This window comes from Homo sapiens, chromosome 2 (assembly GCF_000001405.40).
Source record: "Homo sapiens chromosome 2, GRCh38.p14 Primary Assembly".
In the NCBI taxonomy this organism is placed as follows: Eukaryota; Metazoa; Chordata; class Mammalia; order Primates; family Hominidae; genus Homo; species Homo sapiens.
This window is the reverse complement of record NC_000002.12, coordinates 46,274,880-46,299,791: the sequence shown is the minus strand read 5'-3', so window position 1 is coordinate 46,299,791 and position 24,912 is coordinate 46,274,880. Positions and strand designations below refer to the sequence as shown.

The 24,912-nt window shown below is 48.5% G+C and overlaps 1 protein-coding gene and 1 long non-coding RNA gene across 3 annotated transcripts in view, besides 4 other annotated features; both read right to left on the bottom strand.

Annotated features, from left to right (window-relative positions):
* The window catches only part of EPAS1 (endothelial PAS domain protein 1), an 89,291-nt gene extending 86,906 nt beyond the window's left edge, over nt 1–2,385 (bottom strand). Inside the window, exon 1 of the mRNA NM_001430.5 lies at nt 1,855–2,385. Within this exon, the coding sequence (NP_001421.2) occupies nt 1,855–1,880 (26 nt within the window). The 5' untranslated portion in view covers nt 1,881–2,385. The remainder of the gene's footprint in view (nt 1–1,854) is intronic.
* Nucleotides 1,792–2,121: a silencer, noted in NCBI's record as "silent region_11447". NCBI's record gives its function as "represses an Ori minimal core promoter by ATAC-STARR-seq in GM12878 lymphoblastoid cells {active_cell/tissue: GM12878}" and the evidence as "EXISTENCE:reporter gene assay evidence [ECO:0000049][PMID:35858748]".
* Nucleotides 2,352–2,931: a silencer, noted in NCBI's record as "silent region_11446". NCBI's record gives its function as "represses an Ori minimal core promoter by ATAC-STARR-seq in GM12878 lymphoblastoid cells {active_cell/tissue: GM12878}" and the evidence as "EXISTENCE:reporter gene assay evidence [ECO:0000049][PMID:35858748]".
* Nucleotides 8,037–8,538: an enhancer, noted in NCBI's record as "H3K27ac hESC enhancer chr2:46518393-46518894 (GRCh37/hg19 assembly coordinates)". NCBI's record gives its function as "activates a minimal SCP1, AML or CMV promoter by ChIP-STARR-seq in primed H9 embryonic stem cells {active_cell/tissue: H9 hESC(primed)}" and the evidence as "EXISTENCE:reporter gene assay evidence [ECO:0000049][PMID:30033119]".
* LOC101926974 (uncharacterized) overlaps nt 9,294–24,912 on the bottom strand; it is a 44,062-nt gene continuing 28,443 nt past the window's right edge. For both annotated transcript variants that reach the window (XR_940051.4, XR_940050.4), the window contains exon 3: nt 9,294–9,373. This is a non-coding gene — a long non-coding RNA (uncharacterized LOC101926974). The remainder of the gene's footprint in view (nt 9,374–24,912) is intronic.
* Nucleotides 15,748–16,042: an enhancer, noted in NCBI's record as "tiled region #3071; HepG2 Activating DNase matched - State 8:EnhW". NCBI's record gives its function as "activates a minimal TATA promoter and a strong SV40 promoter by Sharpr-MPRA in HepG2 cells {active_cell/tissue: HepG2}" and the evidence as "EXISTENCE:reporter gene assay evidence [ECO:0000049][PMID:27701403]".

Genomic DNA, 24,912 nt, shown 5'->3' with positions numbered 1-24,912 from the left:
CTGGGTGTGTCGAAATCATTTTTCCCCTGCTCCCAAGTTTCTCGGTATATACGGTACAAAACTGCACAAAACCCGGCGCTAAGGAGCGCAGGAGGAGCTGACACTTCACACATTTGTCAAGATTACTGTCAGGCCCCACCTCGGCGATTGCCACATTCCCGATAGGCATCGCAGTTGTAAAATACACAAGTTCCCTCCCCGGCTCCGGACCCGAAAGCGTCTGCAGGCGCTGTCTATAACTTTGCTTTTCGATGGTTCAGTCATTATTAGCATTATGATTGGTTTTTACAAAACGCACTGGAATCTTAAGAGTCTTTTCCTTGCTCTGCTGCCTTCAAAAGACATGGAACCCCAGGACTGCTCCGAGGGCCCTGGGAATGTGCCGGCTGCAGTCTCAGGGCTCCCTCACTTGTCTTGGGTCTGAGGGCGCGACGGTGACGAGAAAGGGGGGACTACGGCCAGGAAAGGGGAGCAGGGCCCAATCCCCTCCCCTAGCGATCCCGCAGTGAAGGGCCCGGGCGCCGAGCCAGGACAGGCGCGATTCGCTCCCGTTTATCAAATCCTTATCGGTGCCCCGAGGTGGGAACCGCTGCTTTCGACCGGAGGATACACGGTTTCTGGCTCCAGTCCCGTAGTGGAAGTTGGAACAAGAGCAAATCAACCTCGGCAGTGAGCCCTCCCGGCCAGTCACCTCCCTCCCTTAGCGAGTCGGTCCTCCTCATCCTCGCACCTCTATACCGCCGCTCCGCCGCTGGTTTCCCGCGGCTCAGGCGGTTCAGCCGGCCGCGCGTTGGATTCCAGCTTCCCGCAGCATAGCCTCGCCAAGCCGCGGCCAAGCGCGGGGCTGGAAGCTCCAGGCCACTGGGGCCGCACGGGTGGAGACAGGAGGAGAAAGGGGACAGGCGGCGAGCCGCACACATTTGCAGAAGTTGAGGCCCTGCCTGCTTCTGCGCGGCCGCGCAGAGGGCTCGAACCCTCGCTCGGGTAGCGCCGGGCCCGGCTGGACTGGGAGCGGCCGGGAGAGGGCGAGAGGGCAGCAAGAAATGGCCAGAGTTGCCTCTCACCCAGTGCCGAGAGGCTCGCGAGGGCAGGCGGGCAGATCGTGGCTGCCCTTCTCTGTCCTCTTCGGAGACAGACACCCGGACCTGCCAGGGACATCCAGTGTTGCCGTCCGCTTCCTACACACCGAACCATCTGCCCCCGCAGGGCAATCCAGGTCACTCACTACCTACTCTCCCCAGAGTCAAGGTGCGGCACGAGGAAGTGGGTTCTCCAACCTTCGGTGGGGTCTGGAGCCCGGCAGCGGGGCGCTCTGAAGGGTCCTGGCTCCTCGGTAGGATCGTGTCCCTGAGCCGCTCTCCGCCTCCCGCCCCCCTTTGCCCACTTGGGCCGCGGCGCGGGCACAGGAGCGCATTTGGAAGGACTCCGCGAATCCAGAGAAAAATAGAGACGTGGATGCTGCCCCAAAATGAGAGACCAGAGAAAGTCGAGGACATGCACCCACAAACATTTCCAAGCGCCGGTGGCCACGGTAATCTGCTGCGGGGCGGCTGGGAGATTTTCAAAGGCACCGCGGAAGCACCTCCGACCTCCAGGCCATCTCCCTCGGCCTCCTGGCCTCGCCGTGCGCGCAAATCCCCGACTCCTCCGAGCCGCAGAAGTCTCCACTGCAAAGCTGCTGATCCGCGCCCCCAAACCGGGCACATGCTCTCCCCCTCACAGCCCTCCAAACCGAGCCTCGAGCTCCGAAGACCTCTCAGCACTCTTCTCCCAACCACTCTCGGTCGCGCCTGCCCCGCGCAGCCCGGCCCTGGCCTCGGACCGGCCCCCTGATCGGCCCGGACGCCCGCTTACCTTTTCTTCTCCTTGTCAGCTGTCATTGTCGCTGTGGCCCTTTGAGACGTTCAGACGCCGAGCACCTGGGCTCCCTGGCGGGTGGGGGGCTGTGGCCCTCGTCCGCTCCCCGCGGCCCGGGCGGGTGGTGAAGGTCCGAGGTGCGCGCAGGTCCCGAGCGCCCCGCGCAGTCAGGTGGAAGGTGGCGCGCGGCGGGCTAGGTGCGGGGGCGGGGGTGGAGAAAGGTGACTGGGAGGAACCTGCGCGCGGAGGCGGGGTCCGGGGAAGGAGTGGGTGGAGGCTGTCAGACCCGAAAAGAGGACGGAGAGAAGGGAACCCAAGTTCCTTTTTCCCTGGAAAAGGAGTCACTTTTCTGAGTTTTCAAAGAAAAAAAAAAGTGGCTCGAATGCTGGGAGTCGGAAGGAGTCGGAGGCCGGGCTGAGCTGACCATACAGTCTCAGGACACTGCCGAGGATTGTACGGCCGCCTCAGGAGCGCTGGGGCGGAAGCGCAGCGGGCACCGGACCCGTGTGGCGGTCCGCTCGCGAGTGTAAAGCTCCCGCGGCCGGCAGCCCACTTTAAAAACTCCGTCGGCCGGCTTGGGGCGGGCACGGGGCGGGCGCGGAGGGCGGGGGGCGGGCACCGGCGCGGGTGTGTGGGCGGGCACGCGCCGGCAGGCCCCGCCCGCGCCGAGCTCCGGGCGGCTCACTGCGTCCCGGCCAATGGGGACGCGCGGCCGCAGCCTCTGCCCTGACCCTGGCCCGCCTCCTGCCCCCGCGCTGCGCCCCGCCTCCTGCCTCCGCACTTCGAGGACTTGTTTATGAGGTCGTCTGGGCGGCGGGTAGCGGGGTGGGACTCCGCGTCGGGGAGAGGCAGCCTGCGCAGGGCCGAGGGGCGGCCGGGAGCCGGGCTCCGGGATTGCTGCGGGGGACGGCAGTTGCGCCACAGCGTCGGTGTCCTCGTACCGGCGCCGTGCCCTTGGAACGAGGGCAGGACCGCGGGCAGCGCCGGGCCAGCGCGGAGCCCCTCCACGCTGCTGCGCTCCTGCGTCCCTGGCCCTCGGGCCAGGTGGGGATAATTTCTCGGCCCCCAGCGGCTGCGTTTCGGGCGTGGGCGATGCGCCCTTTTCGGTGGGACGCAGCTGACTTGACCGTCTGGGAGAAGCAGTGCAAGGAAATTGATCTAGGGCTGCGCCTACTCTTCCTTCCCTCTCCCAGCAGGGTGGTTGCTTACCGGCTTGTGCCAGGCGGTTTGGTTTTGGCGGGGATGCGGCAGAGGAGGCCCTTTGAGCCGCCCGAGGCCGGGGCGAGTTCAGAATTGGAGAAGTCAGTCTGGTTCCCCAGTGTGATCTTGGAGTGACAAGAGTTGGCCATGTGCCCTCAAGTCACTGCATCTCAGGCCTGCCCTCTCTGCCGCCAGGGTCGATGGAAGTCCTGGGAAACCCAAAGGCTACAGGTGTTGGAAATTTGTAGATTTAAGGGCTCACACAGGCAACGGTTAGCGCTCAGGGATTTTCCAGCGGCGCTTTTGACGCTGCCTTCCATCTCCGGGCCCAGTGCTCCCCTGCCCCGCGCTGAGCTGTCTCCCACTCGCTACCGGCGATGGGGAAGGGACATCTGGGGAGAGGACAGGGGACGCCCTTAGTTTTTGAAGGCTGTGGAAGGACCCATGAGTTTCACAGGTGTAACTTGAAGTTGGAAAGCGAGGGCCAAAGAACTGGTCTATATCTCTCCCTTTAGCCTCTTGCCACATTTTATACTAGAACGATCTACAGAAGCGATTTGAAGAGAAGGGTAGGTTTCAGCGCCATAATAAAAATGAACACGTGTTTTCCCCGTGTACACAGAAAGGGTTGGGGGAGATACTTTTCAGGAGCCTGGAGAAGGCGAAGTGGGGAGAGGGCAAAAACTGACGAAGAATTGGGAAATACTTTTTTTTTTTTTTTGAGACTGAGTCCCACTCTGTCGCCCAGGCTGGAGTGCTGTGGCCCCATCTCGACTCACTGCAACCTCCGCTTCCCGCGATTCTTGTGGCTCAGCCTCCGGAGTAACTGGAATTAAAGGCGCCCACCACCACCCTCAGCTAATTTTTGTATTTTTAGTAGAGACGGGAGTTTTACCATGTTGGCCAGGCTGGTCTCAAACTCCTGACCTCAAGTGATCTGCCCAACTTGGCCTCTCAAAGTATTGGGATTACAGGCGTGAGTCACTGTGCCCGGCCGGGAAGTAGACGTATTTTGTCATTTTCTCAGATCTCGGGGCACGGAGCACCTATACAGGTTGATAGTCAACGAATTCAAAGATTGCAAATCTCTCTCTAGCGAACTATTTCATGGGGCTGGTGGGTTTCAGGAACGGGGTGATTTGGTACTGGGCTTCTCCAGCCAGCCATTTCTAGTGGACACATTTATGTATTTTAATGAGTTCAAATTGGTAGATAGTTCTCCCTTAACCATAGGCTTATTTCCCTCACTTGGGACTAGAGTGCGGGAAAAGGGCACCTTGGTGGCTTCCAGGTGCCTACAGTAGTTCACCACAACAGCCTCTGAGTCCTGGACTGTGCTTGACAGATCGAGGCAACACCTCCAACCCATAGAGAACATAGCCTTTTAGATCTTGTTTTTAAAGAGGAAAGGCAAGGAGGGGTCACTCAAGACCACATCAACCTAAGAAGACATGGACACATGGGAGGAACAGCACAGACTGGGGCGTGTCAGAGGGTGAGGGGTGGGAGGAGGGAGAGCATCAGGAACAATAGCTAACGGATGCTGGGCTTAATACCTAGGTGATGGGATGATCTGTGCAGTGGACCACCATGGTACACATTTACCTATGTAACAAACCTGCACATCCTGCACATGTACCCCTGAGCTTAAATGTTAGAAATTCCATCAACCATGTTATATAGCTCCTTCCTCTTGGCCAGACTGCACCCTATAAGTGAAGGATCCCCAGGCTAACACAAACAGCTGGCATTGAGTCTGGGATTTTTTTTTTTTCTTTAGACAATCTCACTCTGTTGCGCAGGTTGGAGCGGAGTGGCACGATCTTGGCGCACTGCAACCTCCACGTCCCGGGTTCAAGCTATTCCCCTGCCTCAGCCTCCCAAGTAGCTAGGACTACAGATGTGCACCACCATGCCCGGCTAATTTTTGTATTTTTAGTAGAGATGGAGTTTTGCCATGTTGGCCAGGCTGGTCTGGAACTCCTGGCCTCATGTGATCCACCCACCTGGGCTTCCCAGAGTGCTGGGATTATACGCATAAGCCACCGCACCTTGCCAAGTCCGGGATTTTGGCAGTGTCTGAGATACACCAAAAACTCATTATAATAACTCTCAAAAGGGTTGCACCCAGCCTTGCTTAGAGCAGAGCCGGGTGGCCTGAGATTTCTTCCAGGACTCAGCTCAATAACCTTTGCAGGAAGGAGCTGAGAGTGTAAACCAGATGCAGGCTGTGGCTAGGGTGCATCCAATTTTACTTTTTAGAGCCTGTGGAGAACTAGAGGAGAAAAACTTTGAAAGGTGATGCTGGGGCAGTGAGTGGGGGATGGGGAGCTGGGTCCCCGGATTCAGAGGGGTGTCTTTAGAGACACTGATGTTGTGGCCACAGAGGGCAGCAGAGGACACCGGTAGGCAAAGCTCCCAAGCTGCTTAAAATAGGAGCAAACTGCCCACCTCCCAGCAAATCTCCCTACCTGCCCCCCAACCCTGTATTGGATGGTTTGGGAACAAAAGCTGTGGCACCAGTGAAACACCTATTTGTTTTGACAAGGGACAAATCTGATTCTCTTGCTTCCTCTTTTCTTTGTAGGGTGTGCCCTCAGGAGGATGGGATAGAGATAAAGTGTGAACTTACAAACCTGGCAGAGAGCAGGCACCTGGGATGCAGTGGGCTGGTGGAAGAAAGATGGCCTCAGTACTCCCATCGAAGTAACAGTATGTTCCAGGATGCAGTTGGAAATTAGGTTGGAATGGATGGGATCTAACAGGAACAGCTCTTGGAAGGATGGGCTATCTCATTAGTACCTTACAACTTCCAATGCATTGTCACATATTGGAGTTGGGACCAGGGTGAGGCAAAAGAGGCCTTTAAGAGTCATGCAAGTACACTGGCCTCTGTCCTGCCACATGCCTTATCTCACGTAATACCCATCTGACCCTTGTCTGGCTATTTAGTTGGTTTCGGGGTGGAGAGAGCAGGGGAGGTAAGGAGCAGAGATGGGAGAGAGGACAAGCTGGCAGAGACTCTTTCTCTATGAAAAGCCTTGCCTGAGTCACTCCTTCCCTCACACTTGCATGTTACTCCATCCAAACGAAACCAGCCCCTTTTGTGACTTCACAAAATCTATACTCACACTCCCTGTCACTGAACTCCAGGTCCAGAAAACTATGCCCCCTGTGTTTGGCTTTAGGCCAATGTCGTGAGATATTCCACACAGACATGTGCTGTATCTTCTTTTAAATGTTGTGACTTTTGACCCCACAAATCTAGAATTTGTCATCTTTCAAAAAGAGTTCTGTGATTTCTTTTTTTTTTTTTTTTTTTTTTTGAGGCAAGAGTCAAACTTTTTTTCCTCCTTGAATTCCTAAGTGCTTGCTGGTAAGAAGGATGCAGTTTTAAAGAACCCCAGCTTCTCCATTCCTCACACCTGTATACTGATGACTTGGAGACTAACATCTTCCATTGCTAGGCTTAGGAATGAAGTTTTGCCTCTGAAGGGAGTTGTGCATTTGTAACTGTCATTCAACCAATGGTGAAAGAGTCACTGGTCCAGGGCCAATGTGCTCTGCTGCCTCCGGGAAAGCATAAGACATCAGTCTGTGGAAGAGGGCACTGGTGGTTTCCTTCCCTCCAAGAGGACATAGTTCAGTTGGGTACATACTGCATTTCCCAGATTTTGAATACACACGTTTTAAGGCTTCCAAAATCAGGTATCTTTTGACATGGTAATTCCTTTTCCTCCCCCAATTTTTAATTTGGTAAATATGTACAATTTATATGCTCTTAACATTTTTAAATTTGAAAATCGAGAGCAAAATCTTATAGCCTAAACAACAGGAGTGGTAAGAATTTGGTGGTGGTGAACAACCAGAAAATCTGGAGTCCCAGCCATGTCCACTGCTAGGACCCAGAGAAGCCTAGCCTGGACTGGCCCAGCTGCCGGGCTGATGAGTGTGACCTCTGAGGTGATAAAATAACACCCATGTGGGAGGAATGGCCAATAAGAAGGACATGCCAGCCCCACCTTAGAAAAAGGCATGAGTAGAAATGAAGGTGCTATATCACTAAAAATGATGACATTGGGCCCCAAGCATCCGATTTTCTCTGGCACCTGGCTAAGACAGGCATAGAGGACAGGGCCGGTTGGGGTGTAGTCAGAGACACCCTCCCTATTCTGTGGCATTGCTTTGGCCTGTAGCAAAGTGTTAAAATGGGACTCTTCCTACTTCAGTTTCAACTGAGTTCCCAAGACAATCAATGCCAGCTACTCCCACTTCCAAAATGCGGAACACAAGAGCTCCTTGAAAATGATTTTGTGTACCTTCTCCAGCCACTGTCCACCTCAAGGAAAGTGCATGGATTGATACAGAAGAGGACTCAAAGTTGGAGTTCTAGGATTGAGTTGTCAACATTGTGATCAGTTTTCCTCCCCATACCATGGAGAGAGGACATGCCTTGCTCCTGTCTCTTAAGTCCAGTGACTAGGGCTTACCTGAGACCACACACAGAGCTTGATATCTGTCCCTGGAGCTTGTGGAACACAGGAGACTGCCCACTGGTGAGCAGCTGGCTGAAGAGGCCTATTGTAGAGGACATTTCCATTTGGAAGTCACTCCCTCTTGCCTATATCATGGCAAGGGAGTGTGTGGCAGATTGAGTTTCCTGGAAGATGACTCTGAGGGGGAAGATTAGCATGAGGAAGGTTTATTAGAGTGCTCTTGGGATAGCACCCAGAGGAGGAAAGGAGAAGAAGCAGGATCAGAGAGAAGTGGACCCCCACTGCCCGGATCTGAAGCTGGGATGGCCCTTCAGAGTTGTCCCAAGGCAGAGTCAAGGGGCCTTTCTACCCCTGCCATAGATTGGTCATTGTTCCTGGCTGACCTTGGGGAAAGGCTGTGACCTTGAGCAACAGCATCTGGGGGAATGTGTCCTTCATTCCTAAGGGGAGATCTGGGCAGGGATCACAGGGTCCAGTATGGCATATGGCATGCAGGTACCAGATGTGGAAACTGCAAGAAGAATAACCACCTAGGGCCAGGCACAGTGGCTCACATCTGTAATCCCAGCACTTTGGGAGGCTGAGGCAGGCAGATAACTTGAGGTCAGGAGTTCGAGACCAGCCTGGCCAACATGGTGAAACCCTGTTTCTACTAAAAATACAAAAATCAGCCAGACATGGTGGTGGGTGCCTGTAATCCCAGCTACTCAGGAGGCTGAAGCAGGAGAATCACTTGAACCTGGGAGGCAGAGGTTGCAGTGAGCCGAGATCACACCACTGCACTCCAGCCTGGGCAACAGAGACTCCACCTCAAAAAAAAAAAAAAAAAAAGAATAACCACCTAGAATTAAAGGAAAAAAAAATTTAGAGATGAGGGTCTTGCTATGTTGCCCAGGCTGGAGTGCAGTGGCTATTCACAGGTGTGATCATGGCACATTGTAGCCTTGAACTCCTGGGCTCAAGAACTTCTCCTGCTTCAGCCTCCCAAGTAGCCACTGTGCCCAGCAATTTTTAAGGGGACTCTGTCCACATGGGCTTCTTCAAAAAGACCTTGGCAGAAAAAGGTGGAGGCCCAACTGGAGATAGAGGCTGAAGGAGGACCATAAGTGACCAGCTGAAGGAGAGGCCCCTTTGGACTCTTGAAGACTGCAGTCCCAGGGGACCAAGAGGGTTCCATACAAGGTGACAAAGGTACCAAAGAGGGAAGCACCAGCCATGGCCAGGGAAGGTCAAAGAGATACTTCATCCATGCTAGAAACAAAGGATGGAAGGAGGATGGAAGGAGGGAGAAAAAGAAGGAGGGAGGAAGGAAGGGAAGGATCAAGGGAAGGAGAGAAGGAAGGAAGGAAGGAAGGCAGACAGAGAGGCATCTCCTACTCCTTGTTTTTTATTCTCCCTCCTACTCTACAGGGGCCAAGGTGAGGCTAGTAAGGGGATGGGGTAGAGGTGCTAAATGGGAAAATGTCTTGGCGTCCTCAATGCCTAGCAGGGAACCTGGCATAAAATGGACACTCAAAAAATAATATACGAAGAATGAGGAAAATCTTTGCCCCTTTATGATTCCCAGTGACTGTGTAAGGGCCTTCTATATCTGCATCATTCTGGGGACTGAATGTGGGTCCTTCCAAAGTCATGGTGTTATAGAACAGTGATACAGGGGTGATGTCTAAAGCACACACTGAAGTATCCCCAGACGCACCTGCACATACACACATGTACATGCTCATGTACCTACCTGGTGCCAAGCTCAGAAATAGGGTTCTACACAAACCTCACTGGAAACTTTTCATTTCTCTTCAGTGCATACCTCAGTCTTTGCCCTTTGAAGAAAACCAGGGATGCAATGCTGAGAATGTGACTGTAAATACTTCAGATTTTAAACTCCGAGGATTTTCTCTTGGTCTCCTCAGAGGGTTGTAGTCTGTGGTGTATGGATCCTGGGGTTTCAAGGCCATCTGGCCCCTGTGTGCTCAATGATCTACCCCAGTGGAAGGAAGACGAGAAACAGACATTTCAAAACCTTTAGGCAATGGGTCTTGGCCTGAGACAGAGTTTCACTTTGTCGCCCAGGCTGGAGTGCAGTGGCGCAATCTCCACTCACTGCAACCTCCGCCTCCTGGGTTCAAGTGATTCTTGTGCCTCAGCCTCTTGAGTAGCAGGGATTACAGGCACGCACCACCATACCTGGCTAACTTTTTGTATTTTTAGTAGAGGCAGGGTTTCACCATGTTGGCCAGGCTGGTCTCGAAATCTTGGCCTCAAGTGATCCACCCACCTCAGCCTCCCAAAGTGCTGGGATTACAGATGTGAGCCGCCGCACCCAGCCAGCATGCCCTATCTTAATTGTTAATTTTCTATGATAGCAGATTAGCTCTCCTAATTACTTCTATCTTAGGCTAGATTAAAATGCATCCTGATCAGATAGTAATTTATGGTGAAGAGATGCCTTCTGGCCTAAAAACATGCCAGGGGTAAATCTCTAAGTAGATGACCTCAAGGCAGAGAACCCAGAGTGCACTGTGTATGAAAGAATTACGGAGTGAAGTTCATGTGCCCAAGGTTTTAAAGAATAATTAAGAGCCTAATTATAAGAGTACTGAAAAGAGCCATACACAATTCCAAGTTAGCTTTGCCTGTTAAGAGTAGAAAGCTCATTTTATAAGTAATAAAACGATGGTGTTTACACAATGCAGCTTTCCAATTTCCTTTTCAAATTCCACTGTGCTTGAGGCACCATCCCCTTTGACTGCATGCATTCTGATCTTTGTTGAATTAATTTCATCTAGTAATTCTTCTACTCATTGGCATCTATTGACTGTCCAGTCCATATGCATGGATGTGGTTGAAACTCAGCTGAGAAAGATGAATGACACACGGCTCTACCCTCTAAAGCTCACTCTCTCCTATTGGAGACAGACTTCTAAACAAAATACTACACCTCCAAAGAGAAAACCCCATTTTTCTGGGAGCTCAGAATGGGAAATGACTCTGCCTGGGGATGGAGGTGGGAGGGAGGAGAACTTAGGGAAGGCTTCTAGAAAAGGTGACATTTTGGCTGCAGCTTGAGGGGTGACCAGGAGTTTGCTAGTTAGAACAGGGAAGGAAGAGCATTCTGGGTTGAGAATTGGGACAGAGTCTTCTCTGATAATTCGCAAAGCAAATGTCAGGTCATACAGGAGCAACTCAAAAGACCTTTTGCAGAGATTTAGTTATTATTGCCCATGCTAGACTATCAACTGCTTCTGACTTTGTGCAGTACTTAGACCACCTAAGTTAGTGCCTGATAGGGTATTTTGAGGATGACAGTAATGCCTATGCTAGAGATGAGTGGGATATGACCCTCATCTTTTAGTCATGACATTCCAGCTCTCCTACCTTGGGTTTGTTCCTAATAATTAAGTGGCCATCACAGCAGTAGTGAGTATTCTTCTGCAAACTCCAGGAGCATCTGTGGAACCGAGTGCAGATGCCTTTGACCTGTGCAGCAGTTGACTCAGGTTACCAGGCACCTTTTTCAAGTTCTTCCCAAGAAGATGTATCTTTCTTGTTCAGCCTAATTTTTATAAAACTTTAATGTTCTCTTAAAACTGAAATTTTGCACAGTAGGCATTAGCATCAGAGCAACATTCCCATGAGTTCTGGAATCTCCTGGAGTACATTACTCTAAGCAAAGAGCCAATTATTGCAGCCCTGAAGTTGGAGGGGACACTGATTAGTATCTGTGGCCTAGAAGTACAGATGGATGGCTGTGGAGGCCACAGCATCTTGAGGATTTTTTTTTTTTTGAAACGGAGTCTCATTCTGTCGCCCAGGCTGGAGTATAGTGGCGTGATCTCTGCTCAACGCAGAGGATGTTAAATGGAGTCAAAAGCAAATCAGACTCCCTCATGGCCCAACTCAGGAGTTATTCTTAGGCATAGGGAACATTAGAGAGACCTCTAGAGTTGGGAAGAGTGGGCCTAGTGGGGAGTCCTTGGGCCCTGCAAGTTTCCACTCAATTTCTCACCCTGGGCACTGCCTCCACCTGTTCTCTGTACCTATTCCTTCTCTTCTATTTCTCCTCTACAATTCTTCTTTTATTTCCCCATTCCTCTTTCTCGTAAATATATCTTTTTTTTCCCAGAAGTTTCTACTGAGTTTGAAGGTTTCAATGACCATGTTGATTACAGAGATAGGAAGGCTATTTCCATCACTGTCTTTGGATGAGAGACAGCAGAGGCTCCTCTCTGCAGGCCTGGCCAGACTGCTTATGAGGAGCTGGAGGGAAAGATGAACGGCTTTAAGTCACTCAGGCCAGTACCCAAGAACCCAACACTGTGCTGGGCCTTGGGGTGGTTCTGGGGTAGCGTGAGGGTAAGGAATGCTAGAGAGGTATGGCAGAGAGAACCCGAGAGAAGGCGTTAGGACATGCAATGAGGTCCCATTTCCCACTGATTCCTAACTTTATTTTTCTGCCAAATTAAAGGAAACATATCTTCCTCATATGGTGGAGAAGTAACTGAGACATAAGATAAGAAAAGTCTAAAGCCCAATATAAATATAAGGGTTTGAACTCATCTGACCTGGGTCTGTGTGGGCTAAGCTGCTCCAAGCTGGGCTAGACATGGGATAGGAAGCAGTTTAACTTGCCCTTTTCTCCTGTGGGCCTAGAAGTCCCTGGATTAGATGATGCTGTGGAGCCCACTGTGGGAGAAGGGGAGGGGAGAAGAGCATGGCTTGAAGTCTGAATCCTGGAGCCCAGGTTCAGGTCTCCATCAACCTGAACAACATCTCTGAGTCCCCACTTCCTCATCTGCAAGATGAGAATTCTAATTCCACCTCACACACTTAGGGATAGAATCAAATGCAATACTAAGCCCAAAGTCACTGTATAAAGTACAATACAAATGTGGTTATTAATATCCTATCATTAATATCTTGGTGTTTCTTATAGCATAATGGATTTCCAAAGGGAGAGCATTAGCAAGATAAAATAGCCTCAGAAGGAACCAAAGAAACTAAATTTTGTACACTAAGGTAGTATAAATTCAGTACATTTTAAAGCTTAGTTTCTATTTAAGATCATTTAAAAATCAGTTTCTATTAAAATTCAGAAGCATTTCTAAGTGCTGGGAAAGACTCTCTCCCTGCTCTTTGCCATTGCTAAATTAGCCTGCCTCTGGAGGAGAAGGCCCTTTTCCCTTCCTGCCCCACTAGTGCAGGACTCTTTGGGTGAACTCCCTCCCCTTGCCCCTGAGCAGTTGGGTGGGAGTGTGGTAAGCCTCTGGTTATACTTTAAAAATAGTGTTGAGAGAGAGGCAGGCAGGCAGGGAGGCTCACCGGACAGGAAGGACAGGTTTTCCTGCCTTCCCTCCCCACCTGCCCCACACCCAGTCACTTTGTCACCCCAGGGGAGCTGTCAGCCCAGCCCCACAAATTAGAGGGTGCTGCATGGCCCTGGCCCCACACAGTGTTTCCATGAGAACCTCTCCTTCCCCTGATTTTCCCTTTTCTCCTGGGGCCTCCTCGCACGTAGAAAGAAACCCCTGCTCCTAGCCCTGTTCCTGTATCTAGACCCTGGCAGCCTCAGTCACTCATCCAGACATTAGCTAGGAGCTGGCAGTGCCGAGAATGGCTCTGGAGGGGAGGACAGGGGGCCAGGGTTGGCACCTGGGCCACTCGGGCAAGCCTGAGATGTGGGTGCAGGCTTTGCTTGGTGCTCCCAGTGGCCCTGGCCTGGCCTCTCCTAGGATCCAGAGGGATCCTGGACCCTGGAAGGGTCCCAGGCCCCAGGAAGGGAAACAGTCAGACCTCTGGCTTCCCCGTGGTGGCATCTGAACCCATGGCATTGCCCTCTTCCAGACATGCCTTGGATCCCTTGACTCTGCCTCACCCTTAACCCCTGGTCAGCTCCTTCCCAGTGGCCAGCACTACCCCTCCACTGGGCGCAGACATGGCTGCATCTTGCTCGAAAATTATTCATAGGGATGCATACCTCCTGCCTGTCCTGCCAGACCCCCCACAGACCTCAATTAATGCAGCCCAGCTGATTGAGCATTTGTCTTCTGATGGATTGAATGACAAACCAGCCCTATGAGGTCTCAGCTTGTCCTCCATCATCTCTGGCCTGAGGAGTTACCAGGGTTTTGGGAGCTCTGGGCTTCATGGAAAGAGAAAAAAAAGGTACAGTAAATGCTCTGGGACTGTCCAAGCCTGAGGACCGGAGAGCACGGCGTCTCGGAATCAGACTGACGTGGTCGGCCTCCCAGCTCTGTAATTCATCCTATAGCCTTGGACAAATCCATTAACTTTTCTTGATATAAATTTCCTTATCTGGGGCCGGGCACGGGGGCTCACGCCTGTAATCCCAGCACTTTGGGAGGCTGAGGCAGGCGGATCATGAGGTAGGGAGATCAAGGCCATCCTGGCTAACGTGGTGAAACCCCGTCTCTACCAAAAATACAAAAAAATTAGCCGGGCGTGGTGGTGGGCGCCTGTAGTCCCAGCTACTCCAGGAGGCTGAGGCAGGAGAATGGCGTGAACCCAGGAGGCGGAGCTTGCAGTGAGCTGAGATCGCGCCACTATACTCCAGCCTGGGCGACAGAGTGAGACTCCATCTCAAAAAAAAAAAAAAAAAAAAAAAATTCCTTATCTGTAAAATGGGGATGAAGTTACCCACTTCAGAGGGTGCTGTAAGGATTAAATGATCTCCAAGGCCTCTACAGTGTTCAGACACACAAATCACCTACAGCACCACTCAAAGTGTATGTGCAGATGGGGTCTGGCTTCTTGCATTTTGTTGTTGTTGTTTAGTTGATTGTTTTCTGCATTGTGCATGTGTGTGGTTAAACAAAATGCCCTATCACTGAGATCTGGCCTGCAGGGCCAGGGCTGGACACAGATAACACTGCTGGAGGAACACTAAAACCTTTCTTGATGTGCCACAGGCTTTTATTTCTCTTATTTCTCACTAAGGACAGGAAAGCTTTCATCAGCAACATCAACAACAACACAACAAACACGTGGACACCTCCCCAGGGGTTTCTGTTGATCCTGAATCCTCCCACCCACCCACCCCCACCAATTGCCTTAGAGATGTGGGGCCACCAGGCTTGAAGCTCATCTGACTTCCAGAGGTTGAGGAGTGAGAATTCCTTGCACCAGGGGCTGCCTCAGCAGTGAAGCCACGGGAAATAATCTTCACTCTGTCAGTGGGGCTGCTGGTGACCAGCAACATCCACTTAAAAGCTGTCGATCAGGGCCTCTGAGCATTCCTGGCCTGGGAATGGAGGGGAAGAATCTGGCTAGCTCTAGGGTTACACAGCTGAGTCTGGCCTCATTAACCAAATTAGCTAACCAGCCGCTGTGCAAGCGACGTCTCAGAAGCCCCAATGTTCATGGAGGAAATTAACTCAAATTATTATTATACACACCCCACATAATCAATTGCATTTAAGCAGGTGTCCATATACAAAGGAGGAGGGAAATCACCACAGACTTAGCTTTTGTATAGCCCTTTGTTCTTTAAAAGTAACTTTTTAAACAGTCTATCACTGATTCCTACCTCGTTTCTCTGACATCAACAACACAGATGTTACTATCAGCATTTAGTTAGAGACTAAGTGGCGTATCCAAGATCACACAGCATATTGAGGGATCCAGGGCTCCTCTCTCTTAGTCCATTTTTCTTTTTTGTTTGGTTTTCTCTTCTCTCATAGGCTATTTTGTACACATCAGCCAGAGTCATCTTTTAAACCTCAAATGAGACCATGTCACTCCTGGCTCACACTCTCTGTGGCTTCCCAATAGAGAGAGCACAGTCCAGGTGGCTCACCTTCTTTAAGCTGCTTTCCTCCCCATCTCTCACACCAGGCTGCCATCATGCTTCTCCCCCACTGACTCTCCACAGCCTGGCTCCTTCTCAATCCAGGGCTTCCTTGTCCTCCAAATCACTCTGTCCCACTGCCTGCTTTTTGCTCTCTGGAATCATCTCATTTATCTGTTTACGTGTTTGTTTCCTGCCTCCCATCAGCAGATCATCAATTCCATGGCGTCAGGGACTTTGTTTTGTTGATGCTGCATCCCCAGTACCTAGATTAGTACCTGGCACTTAGAGGGTAATTAATGAAGAGCTTTTTGAATGAATGGATATTGCACTGTATTGATAAAAGAAAGAGAGAAAAGTCCTGGGAGAGAGTGAAGGAAAAGAAGTTATTAATGATGGGAAACAATATGCCCAATATGAGTGAATAGCTGCTATGAGAGATTGCACAAGCTCTGCTGGGTCACCCCGTCCCCACTGATCTAAGACTCCTGAGCCCTAGGCTCACTCCCCACCTCCAATCTGACCAACAAGCCAAAGCCAGCAGTAACTCCAGAGCGGACTTTGACTCTAAATGTGGCCTTAACCCTAGGCCTGACTGTGTAAACAACACCTTCTTCTAACTTTAATCCTGTCCCTAATAACCACCTTAACTTGGCACTCTAATCTCAATGACAAACCCAAATCCATAAGCACAGTCCCCTCTACTCGATGGACCAATTCTAGATATAAGATCCAGCAGGTCAGACTGTCATCCCAGTCCTGCCACACTGAACCTTAACTAGATCTGCATCAGTTTCCCTGAGTGGAAACTGATGGGGGAGGTATGGACTAAAATTGGAGACACTGAAAGCTAGAAAAGACCTTAGAGATCATCTAATTTCTTCCCTTTGGGGATAATATACAATGAATACATGCCATCATGTATTTTCTATGTGTCCCGTTGGTTCTTTCTTTCCTTTTTCTTGCCATATTTTGGATCAATCAAGTATTAGTATTCCATTTTGCCTCCTCCATTTGCATTTTAGCTAAATCTCTTTGTTTAACTTTTGTGTTTATTTTAGGGGTTATAATAGGTATCTTAAACTTTTCATAGTCTACATTGAAATCACATGAAAGAATTTAAACCAGTGTCATTCCCTTTTATAACCCCCATCTTTTGTTCTACTGTTATCGTATACCTAAGTACTGTGTATGTCATAAGCCCCACTATTATTGTTGTTGTTGTTATTGCTTTAGATAATTATGTCTTAAAGACATTAAGAATTGAATAGAGTATGTTTTTTAAAGTTACCGCTGTATTTAATAATTTCTGATGCTCTTCATTCATTTCTGTAGGTCATGTTTCTGTTTTATTTGCCTTCAACCTGCAGAACTTCGCAATTCTCTTCCCCCTCCAGGGACACTGCAGCTTTTCTACCCTTCCATTGCGGCTTCCATACAGCCTCCAAAACCTGCAAGTTTCCAACCATTTCCCACAGTGCAGTTAAATCCCAAGATAAATTTTTAGGCATTTCCAAACTCCCTAAGGACAGGCCCAGGTGGAGCCATGAAAGAGAAGAGAGGGCAGGTAACCAGGAGCCTCTCCTCTTCCTCCTTCCTACGTCACCTTCCCTATACTCCCCAAAGGGGACCTCTCTGACACTGCAATGCAAGATTAAACTACTGGATGATGATGATGATGATGATGATGATTTACCTCCTTTCCTTCCTGGGCCAGGGAGGAGAGCATCAAGCTCTTTGCAGCAGCAGTCTGATCCCCTTCAGTTATCCTCAGGTATTTACTAAGCCCCCTCCTCAGTGCAGCCCCTCTACTAGGGGAAGAGAAAGGCAGAAGTGGAGAGGCTGCAGGGAAGCGAAGGAGCTTATAGACTAGATGGGAGACCATGGGTACCCCTCCTAAGGAAATCAGCAATCCAGTCTTCTCCTTTTTTGTTTCTTCTCCCTCCTCTTCCCATTTCTTTCCCTGCCAATTAGCAAGGATCATAGAACTGTGGGTTGGAATAAGCGTGATTGGGTAAGAAAAGTTGATCAAAGAAGTCCTTAGATTCTAAACTCTGCAGGAAATGTTGCCTCCAAGGCTGCTCTCATCCCTAAATAATGGAGCAAGAGATAAAAGGGACCCCCTCAAAGCCTTGGGAATATACAGTTGAGGGCAAGTCAAAGGTTGCACTGCTGTACACCTGGCAGATTTGGAGAAGACGTGGGTAAGTAGCTGGAGGCAATCCTCTGAAGGGTTGTGAAGGGATGAGGGGTGCCAAGAGCATGTACCTCAGCTTGGAGGCAATGGGTAGAAAGATGCATAGCTGGCACCAAGCCAGGTCCTTTTCTGGCTCCCAAGTCCACAGCACCTTGTTCCTTCTCCTTCCCCATATGTGTCCCCAACCCCTCCAACAGCTGACCTCTAGTCATCCCACAGAACATACTCAAGTTCTACCACTAAGGCTTCCACAGCTACTGTTATTGTCTTATTATTTTTTCTGATGAAGAGCCCTGGAGCCAGTCATACCTGAGTTCAAATCCCAGCTAGGCCACTTGCCAGTTGGCTGACCTTAGATAATTCACTTTCCTCATTGAGTCTTGGCTTCCATTTCTATAAAAATGATGCTATTTTCTTCTTTTTTTGGACAATTCTTCAATAATGAATATAACAGGCATTGAGTTAACATCCTTAAAATATAAAGAGTTCATCTAAAACAACAAGAAGTATACTAAGGGCCAGGTGTGGTGGCTAACGCCTGTAATCCCAGCACTTTGGGAGGTTGAGGCAGGCAGATTGCTTGAGCCCAGGAGTTCGAGACCCGCGTGGGCAACATAGCAAAATCCTGTCTCTAAACCCCAAAATTAGCCAGGTGTGGTGATAGTCCCAGCTACTCAGGAGGCTGAGGTGGGAGCATTATTTGAGCTCAAGTAGTGAAGGCTGCAGTGAGCCAAGCTCACACCACTACACTCCAGACTTAGCAACAGAGTGAGACCATGTCACAAAAAATTAAATAAATAAATAAATTTTGAAAAGAAATATAAGACAAAAACAATAAGTAGATAAGAGTCACAAACAGATAATTCCAAAAGATGAAATACATGTAGCTAATAACGTTTTAAGACATGTTTAACATCCCTAATAATAAAAGTGAAAATTAAAGAAATGAGGCACGTTTCACTTATGAAAAACTACTATAGTTTTTAATCTATAATAATCAGTATTGACAAGGGTGTGATAAGATGGACAACCTCCACTTGGTTATTAGGAATGCTTTTTGGAACACAATTTGGCAATATGTACCAACAGCTTTAACAATGCTCATGCATTTTGACCTAGTAATTTCGCTTCTAGGAATCTGTTTGAAGGATATAATCAGAGATGAGGTCAAAGATTAATATTCACAGATGTTCAGATGTTCATCACAGAGTTATTAACAGGAAATTTTTGGAAAAAAATCTAAATGGCCATGAGTAAAAGAATGTTTAAATTGGTTATAATGCATTCTTAAAGTGGAATTTTACAGCTAATAAAAATATTTTCATAGATTGATGATATAGTGATTACAATACAATGTTTGCTGATAAGCAGGAAATAACGTACATAATATATAATCTCAATTTTATGCTGCTATATTTATGCTTATATATTAGAAAATAGACTGAGAAACACCCCAAAAGGTTAATAATAGTAATTTGAAAGGTCATACATGACGTTTTCTTATATTTTCTAAGCTTTTCACAGTAAAGAAGCATTACTTTTAAAATGTGAAAATAAACTACTATTTAAAATCACAATAACACTGTTTGACCCAGTAATTCCTCTTCTTCAAATATGTTTAAAAAATCAGAAATTCAGTGAAACATGTTGGTATAAAGAGCCAAGACTCAATGGTGATTAAACCATTACTTATAATTTAAAAAATAGGAAAACAGGTATCTAGCAGTTGGAGAACAGCTAAGAAACTTGTTGTATCACCACATAATGGGACACTGTGAATGCACTAAAGATGTTTTTTAGTTAGAATGGCAATCATTAAAAAGTCAGGAAACAACAGGTGCTGGCGAGGATGTGGAGAAATAGGAACACTTTTACACTGTTGGTGGGACTGTAAACTAGTTCAACCCTTGTGGAAGTCAGTGTGGCGATTCCTCAGGGATCTAGAACTAGAAATACCATTTGAGCCAGCCATCCCATTACTGGGTATATACCCAAAGGACTATAAATCATGCTGCTATAAAGACACATGCACACGTATGTTTATTGCGGCACTATTCACAATAGCAAAGACTTGGAACCAACCCAAATGTCCAACAACGATAGACTGGATTAAGAAAATGTGGCACATATACACCATGGAATACTATGCAGCCATAAAAAATGATGAGTTCATGTCATTTGTAGGGACATGGATGAAATTGGAAATCATCATTCTCAGTAAACTATCGCAAGAAGAAAAAACCAAACACCGCATATTCTCACTCATAGGTGGGAATTGAACAATGAGAACACATGGACACAGGAAGGGGACCATCACACTCTGGGGACTGTTGTGGGGTGGGGGGAGGGGGGAGGGATAGCTTTAGGAGATATACCTAATGCTAAATGACGAGTTAATGGGTGCAGCACACCAGCATGGCACATGTATACATATGTAACTAACCTGCACGTTGTGCACATGTACCCTAAAACTTAAAGCGTAATAATAATCAAATAAAAAAAATTTAAAAAAAAGAAAAAAAAAAGAAATTTTAATGACATGGAAAATTTTTGTTATAAAGGTCATTAAAAGAAGAACAGAAAATTGTATATACATATTTTAAATATATGTTTAAAATGAATTTTAAAACTAGGAATGCACACACTTAAATGCTAGCAATGATTTATCTTGGGCATGGGATTATATGTGATTTTTATTTTCTTCCATACACTTTTATATTCTTTTATATGCCATATCTATAATGACTATCAATACTTCATGAGCTTATTAAAAAAACAGAAAAAAGAACAATAGAGAAACGGTCTGAGAAGAAATGAACTTCTATATCGGAGAATGGAGCTAAGGACAGTTATCAAGATCGTTGAGAACATTAGATGATGAATGTGACCAGCACAGTGCCTGGCACATAACAGATGCTCAAATAAATGCAGGTTTGTTTCTCCCTCCCTCTTCTTTCCCGCACACATCTTTCTTGCTCTGAACCCTATGTGCCATTGACAGTCTGTCTCACTCTCCTTTACTCGAGTAACATTTCTCTTCCCAGCAGGTCTGTTGGCCCAGGAGGACTGAGCTAGCTCCTTCCTTCAGGGCATGGTGCCAGCTGGAGCTCAGGCAGCCTTGCTGACTAGTGATGGAGGAATAGGGACGACCCCTCCTTCCCTTCACCCTGACAACCCATATTCAGGGTTTCTTCTCAGGATGACATCTAGGGAGGTAAAGTTTGCACAGAGTGAAGGAGTGAGAGGGAGTTTCCTTGTAAATGGTTTTTTTCTCCTCTTTCTATCCCCCCAGTCTAGAGCTGGCAGAACATCCAGGGAAAGAAGGTAGGGAGATGGCTCCAAGGAAGGTTCCTATGCCAAGCATTTTGCCTTCACTGGTAACTGGCATCCCACCACTAAAGCTGAATGTTCTTTCTAGATACCTTTCACAATGCAGATTCCCTTTGGAGGACAAATATATTAATATGTACGTATTGATATGTATATATTTATCAGCTCCCCTTCAGAAGGCAAGTATGTGAGAGCCCCTGCATAAGGGAACTGAACAGGGAACTACTGAGAATGGCCATACCTGCAGATGGGGGTCTGGAATCTTCCATTAGTAAACCCATATTGAGGCTCCTACCCTGTGCCAGGCACTACTATATCACAGAAGATGCAGACCAATATGAGGCAAGGTCTGGTCCTCAGGTTTCTTACTCTGTAAATGGAGAACTAAGACAGACTTGTGAAAAATAACAGCAAAAACATATGGTAGCATAGAACTGCAGGACTGAAGGGACCTTAAAAGTTTTCAAGATTGACCATCCAATTGGTTATCAAATAACTGTTGTAGAGGTATATGCACAAAGGACACAGAGCTCAGACATGGCTTGAGCCAGGACTGTCTGGGAGTGCAGAAGGATTGTTAGGGCTGGACTGCCACAGAGGATTGGGAAAGGCTTTCAGGACGGGTAAAGCACAGAGCTGGGACATTTGAGGGACAGTGTGTAGACTGTTGGAAGGAGGCTGGTGAAGGGGAGAAGTAGGGAAAAGTACACACAAGAGAGTTGGGGTCAGTTTGCAAAGGACTAAGAATGCCAGGTTTGAGTGTCCAGACTTTGTCCTTTGGACAATGAGAGGCATCTGCTGCACATTTCCAAACAAAGAGGTGACTTTGAAAAGAGGTATCTGAAGGTGATTCTAAACATTGGCAGGAGACAGTAGGAACTGGTAGGGACTGGAGACAAGGTGGTGAGTCAGAGACATTCATGCCATCCAGATGAGATGCCAGGGGCATGGATTAGGACTGTGGAGGTGGGAATGGGAAGAAAAGGACCAGTGGCGAAGGACTTTCAAGGAAAGACTGGGCAGGCCTTGGGGGCTGAGTGGTGGCCAATCCACCAGCCCAGCACACTCTTTGTGTACCTTGATCTCAGCAGCTGAGGCGCCACTGCCCCAGGAGTGCTCAGAGTCCCTGGGGGAGGGAGAGGAAGCACATTTCTGACCAGAGTTTCCAGGAGTTGTGCACCAGTACAGACTGGCACCCAGGGCAAGGGTGGGGTCAGGGAGAGGGGCGGCTCCTCCTATTCTCTTGGATAACAATGCCCCCGAGCCTGCCATTTTCTGTGGTTAAAAGGAGGGCCTTTCTCCCCGCCAGTCCCTCACCCACAGGAAATCCTTGTCCCGGGAGTTCACAGCTGTGAATACAGTCTGTTAAATAGCTCAAGACAGGCCAGGTGCTGCCTGGTGCAGGCCTCCGGGGCCCTCTCAGGGGCCCTGAGCAACCAAGCACTGCCCATTCAGTCACCTGGCATGTCTTTCTTGAGGACTTACTTTGCACGAGGCAGGTGCTGGATGCTGAGGACACAGAGGTGAGGGAGATAGAACCACTACATCCAGTGGGACCACAGACAAGTCAATGCATAGCTGCAATGTAGCCAGACACTTGCCGGTTGAGGTCTGTGCCAGGTGTCAAACAAGCAGAGGATGGGGCTGGAATGTTCAGAGGGAAATGAAAAAAGTCTTCACAGAGGGTGATGTTGAACAGAGTCTTAAAGGGAGAGTAAGGGCTTCTCGGGTAAATGCAGGTAGGAGCAAAGTACATTTATTACATTCCAGGAGATGCTCTGAGCCAAGGCCTAAATAAAGCATCATGGTGCACCTAGAGAACCAGAAGTCACGGGTCAAGCTTCAGGGGAGAAAGTAGAAACGGGTGGGAAATGGAACTGGAGTGATACACGAGGTCCAGATAATGAGGATACCTGTGGGTGTCCCAAGGTGTATAAATTTTATCCTGCAGATCATAGTAGCCATTGGAGCTCAGATGTGGCCACTCACTGTGGGCCCTGCCTTAGGGAAATTTTACATTTTTTCCTCTAGGGGAGCTTAGAGAGTCCAGATGAGGCTCAAGTGTCTGAGGGAGGAAACCATCTCTGCATAAATCACATTCTACCAGGCAGGCTCCCATATCAGGGTTTTTCATGCTCTGTTTCTTCTACCTAGAATGCTCTTCCCCCAGAGACCTAATTTGGCAACTCTCTCCCCACTCCCCCCTCTATTATTAATTTCCCCGACCCTGCTGTCCTCTTTCTTTTTTTCTTTCCATAGCACTTAACATCTACAGTAGAATATGCTCACTTCTTATGTCTATTACTCATTGTGTCTGCTGGAATGTGACTCCAGGGGAGCAAAGACCTTTATATATTTTGTTCCCCAGCTGTTTCCCCTACACCTACAACTGTGCCTGGCACAGGTAGAGGCTCAATGACTATCTGTGGAACAAATGAATGAAGGAAGAAACCGTCTTTGTAATTCCAGTGCCCAGCACAGAGCTGTAAGACGTATGCATGTGTGCAAGAAATGCTACCATCATTAGGGCACCAACAAATGAGTGCCCTCGGGCTTCCCTGCAAACCCCAAGGCCTAGTTGGGCCCCCCAGAGTGGCGCGGGTTCCCCTTACTCCCTGCCGCCCAGCGGGGCACTTGGCACGGCCTGGGGCGAACGTGCCACTCGGAGAATAAAGCGCTTCCTCCGCAGGGCGGCCCTGCCAGGCTGCCGGGGTCTTGCGTCCCGGAAACGCCTCCCCCCAGCCAGCCAGGGGAAGCCTGGGCGGAGCTTTCTAGGAAGCAGCCCTAGCCTGCCTGGCCTTCTCCCGCCTGGAGGAGAGAGAGCTTGAGGTCACAAGGCCCTACTGGCTGCTGGGCACGAGCCCAGGGAGCGGGTCACCTCATTGCTGAGTGACAGGTCTCTCCTGGACCCCAAAGTCCCTCTAAACAGGGCCCCAAGCACTGAAAATATCCCAGTGTCCCAGTACCTATTCATAATTTTATAATTACATTATATTTATTTATATAAAAAGAAAGAGACACAAACAGATATGTAAGAGTAGGATTGGGGCAAGAATACAAGGACACTTAGCTCTATCTGAAATGTTTATTTATTGCAAAATAAAGTGATTAGAAGCAAATGGGAGAAAGAAGGCTTGTTTTAGGTGGTGAAAATATGGATGCTGGTTATATTGTTCTTTTCACTTTTCTGTAACTTTAAAACACTTCAAGGAAAAATAAAGGAAACATAAGGAAGAACAACAAGATTCATATATTTTTTTCTGTGATGACTACTTGGAGCTTTGCTGAATTAATGAATACCCTGGATCCAGCCTTGGTGTTGCTGTATAACTAGTCAGTAGACCAAGGCACCATGGCAGTGTGGTGGGGCAGAGCTTTGCAGAATGAGGGGTCAGGGAGCATGGATGGGGTGGGAGTGGGGACAAAGGCACTTTATAAGTGTCTCTCAAGGCTTACCATGCAGAGAGCCACTTGCTCTTCCCACATAAAGGGTCTGCCTTTCTTCCTTGGCCTCCTGCATGTTTTATTTTTTGCCTCTGACCTAGACCTCAATTGTTGCCACATGAATTAGATGGTGGAGAAGTTGGATGAACAGAAAAGAAGAAAACTTGAGAGGTGGTCTCTGGCAGTAGTGGTTCAGCCAATGTCACCTCCTGGTAATTTGGGTCTCTACCTGTCACTACAATCTCCGAGTGCAGGACTTTTGAGAATGCTCATAGACTCATAAGATACAGTGAAGCCCAGCATACCTCTGCCCCCAGGCCATCGCTAAGTAGCACCTTCCAGATCCCAGGAAAACACATGAAGATTTGTCAGATTGCTGTTTATCCAGAATTCAATGAAAGTACAAACCATAGGAATTTTTGCCTGCTTTTGAGAGGAGACAAAGGAGCAAATTTTCTTTCTTTTTTATAATGTTCAGGGCATCTCATAAGGTTGGTGTAGACTCAGCCCCATCTCTTTAACCTCCATGAAATTAAGGACTCGTGGGTGGTATCCTAGCCAGTCCTGCTGCTGTAACAAAATAC